The following is a 2,942-nucleotide window of genomic DNA, read 5'->3' on the forward strand; positions in this document are numbered from 1 at the left end:
TTGTTAGCATTCTGCTGGCAAAAAGCCAGAAAACAGTTGTTTAATTACCCAGGACAACAAAAACATATAACCTCTTAGATAAGCTGTTACTGTATTTTAGCAGCAATAATACTAGGGTCAAAAGTAACAAAGAAAATTAATCTTCAAATAAGCAAACCTCAAAAGAACAGCTTTGTGTATTGAGAATAATTAATAACTTGTTTAGGAAAATGTTACTGAAATGTGGTTTTTGGAAAAGGAATTGACACTCTTCAGAGGTTAGAGATCCTAGTATTTAACAAGCTACCATTTGGTGGACAGCTGGCTGGCTACCCTGTAGGCATGGTAAAAGTTTGTTCACATGTTATTATGCAACGTTTAGACAATATCTTAATGATACCATGTAGTTCAGCTGAATCAGTCCAGCTGGAAATCGTAGCAGCATTTAGATTACCTGGCCACATGTGAAATTAAGGCTTTTTCAATCTCTAATTTTCACTTGCTATGTTTTGACACAGATGTTCTTGGAAAGCCTAAATTATTTATGGTTTGACAATATTTAGCAGAGTGAACCCCTCCCCTTTCACTGTTAACCGTTGATTAAGATTGCATTACCATATAAGATATTTAGCTTGTCATTATAACAAGTAATATATGTTATCACAGAGAAAATAAAATATTAGTATATTTTGGACAGTTAGGATGGAACTTTTCTACACCCCTTTTATACAATATATATTGTATACTTTTCTTCTTTGCAGATAGTTCTTATTGTAAAGATGAAATTCAGTGTGTACTGTGGAAATCATTTTACTCTGCAGCTAATCACACGTGATTATTATTCTAGAAAATAGCAATTTAGGTTGTGTAAACTAAAACAGAGCAGATTTGACCTTAAGTCATATCATAAAGACATTTAAAGTATAGCACAAACATTTTTTAAAAAGAAAAATGTTTGCTCAAGGATAACACTCTGAAACTTTATCATATTCTTTTGAGTTTTCTCCATGAAAAATAAGAAATGAGTCCATCAGAATTTTTTGTTGTTGTTGTTAATTCCCAGCTCACTCTGTCCAGCCCAATGTTTGGATAGCTTCTTCCCCATCCTGCTAACTGAATGACACCACAACTATTTTATTTTAGAAGTAAATAAAGTTTTTAAATTTTTAATCGAAAAACCTTAAAGGTTATATACATAGGATCTAATGAATTCGGGTAACAAATGATTTTTAAGCAAAAATAATTGTCATCATTATGACATTATTTCAGCTACTTTCTTTGAATCAGATAATGTGGTACTTAATATCTTTAGTATGAAACATAAAATGAAACACTTTAAAAGCACCTCTACACGTATTTTTATTACTTATAAACATATTGTGAATTTTAGTAAATAGAACCAGTGGCTGAGGAGAAACAGAAGTTAATGTTGAATGTGTGTGCATCCCCACAGAAGAAAACTAAATTCTTAATTCTTGTAAATTTGTATTCAAAAATAAAATGCTAAATTCTGGTCAACTGTCATTCCCATTAGTACCTGGTACTTTCTAAACCAAGGAATCTTGAAATGTTTGACTGACGTATTTAAGTTAACTGACAAGACAATCTATGCTTAGAATTCCTGAACAACTAACACAAAAATGTCCCCTTTAAAGGTGACTTGGAATTTACCATTGAGATAATGCCAAATGGTCACTAAAGATGTTTAAACATCATTGTCTACTGTCTTCAGTGTGCCATTACAGAGCCTTGGGTTCCTTTCACATAACAATCAATAGTGGATGAATAAGTCTCACCACTTGAAAGTATCTGAGAAAGGAAGTCAACAGAGTAATCTGGGTTTGCTGGGTTGATTCAAGAAGAGACACAATATCCACCCCTCTTCTTCTAGTTCTCTTCCCCCAACCAGCCCACACCCCTGCAAGAAAGAAAGAAGGGAAAGAGAGAAAGAAGGAAAGAGAGAGGGAAAAGGCAAGACCAAAATGTAGGGATCCCAGGCATAATTTACGCTGAGGAGAAAATGTCACACTGTGGGATAAAATATAGCCATGGAAACAGACTTATGACTTTTACTTTGAAAATAAAAGAATGACAATGAAATTTGTGTGAGGTCTGTGTGAATCCAGTCCCAGATGTTTACAATGCTGTAGTAGTATGGCTCTGCAATATGAGAGGTTTCAGAAGAAACAGTACAACAGGACACCACAAAGCAGTGCATACGCTATTGACAATGCAGACATGAGCATCATGTTACCAAGAGGGAAGGCAGGCAGAAGACAAATAGCAGCGGTGGTGCCTGAAAAGCTAACTTCATGGACTGCAATCACTCAAACTAACATAAGGGACCCAAAACAAAACAAAACAAAACAAAAATCAAAACCAGAAAAATGCTTTTCGCTCATATCTAGAGGTAGTGGGGTAAAGGGATGGGGGTGGGGAGAGAGTGGAATTGACTTTTCTTTCTTAAATAAAGTTCCCACAAAGCCCCTATAATTGACAGCGGATAATTATTTTCAGCTTGAGGAGCCTGTCCCAAAACTCTTAACAAGATTGCCAGGGAAAAGAAACAAAATGTGTTTACTTGAGCCATTTCCAGAAGGAAGGAAAAATTGCTCTTTGGATGAGGTGGGAAAGGCGGTGGAGAGAGAAAGGGGCATCTTTGCACTGCAACAACTCTCTTGAGCGCCCTGCGTGGTCCGGCTAGTGACAGGCTGGAGGGAAGGGGTGGGTAGAGCGGCAAGGGGTGGGGGATGTGAAGGGAGCGCGCTTAGGGGAGGGGATGCGGCAGCACAATGTATACACGGGGGTTGGGGGGTGAATTAGTGTGAAAGTATTCCACTTAATCATTTTACAGGGGTTGGGGACGTAAATATTTAGCTGGCCACATCTGGAACAGATTTTTCCCCCCCGTGTGGGCTGGGGGTGGATAATTGGAAGGAGGGGAGCATGCATTTGTTACTTAC

General features: G+C 37.3%; 1 protein-coding gene across 2 annotated transcripts in view, besides 3 other annotated features; it reads right to left on the reverse strand.

Annotated features, from left to right (window-relative positions):
* Window positions 1-2,942, reverse strand: part of FGF10 (fibroblast growth factor 10) — an 89,174-nt gene that overhangs the window by 85,169 nt on the left and 1,063 nt on the right. The gene's annotated exons all lie outside the window — the stretch shown is intronic.
* Window positions 281-1,328: an enhancer, noted in NCBI's record as "FGF10-int1 enhancer". NCBI's record gives its function as "enhancer in cardiac outflow, forebrain, lens, pharyngeal arches, pancreas, motoneurons, dorsal root ganglion" and the evidence as "EXISTENCE:transgenic organism evidence [ECO:0001131][PMID:22303449]".
* Window positions 359-386: a protein binding site, noted in NCBI's record as "ISL1 site". NCBI's record gives the evidence for it as "EXISTENCE:protein binding evidence [ECO:0000024][PMID:22303449]".
* Window positions 415-444: a protein binding site, noted in NCBI's record as "GATA site". NCBI's record gives the evidence for it as "EXISTENCE:protein binding evidence [ECO:0000024][PMID:22303449]".

Source organism: Homo sapiens, chromosome 5 (genome assembly GCF_000001405.40).
Source record: "Homo sapiens chromosome 5, GRCh38.p14 Primary Assembly".
NCBI lineage: Eukaryota > Metazoa > Chordata > Mammalia > Primates > Hominidae > Homo > Homo sapiens.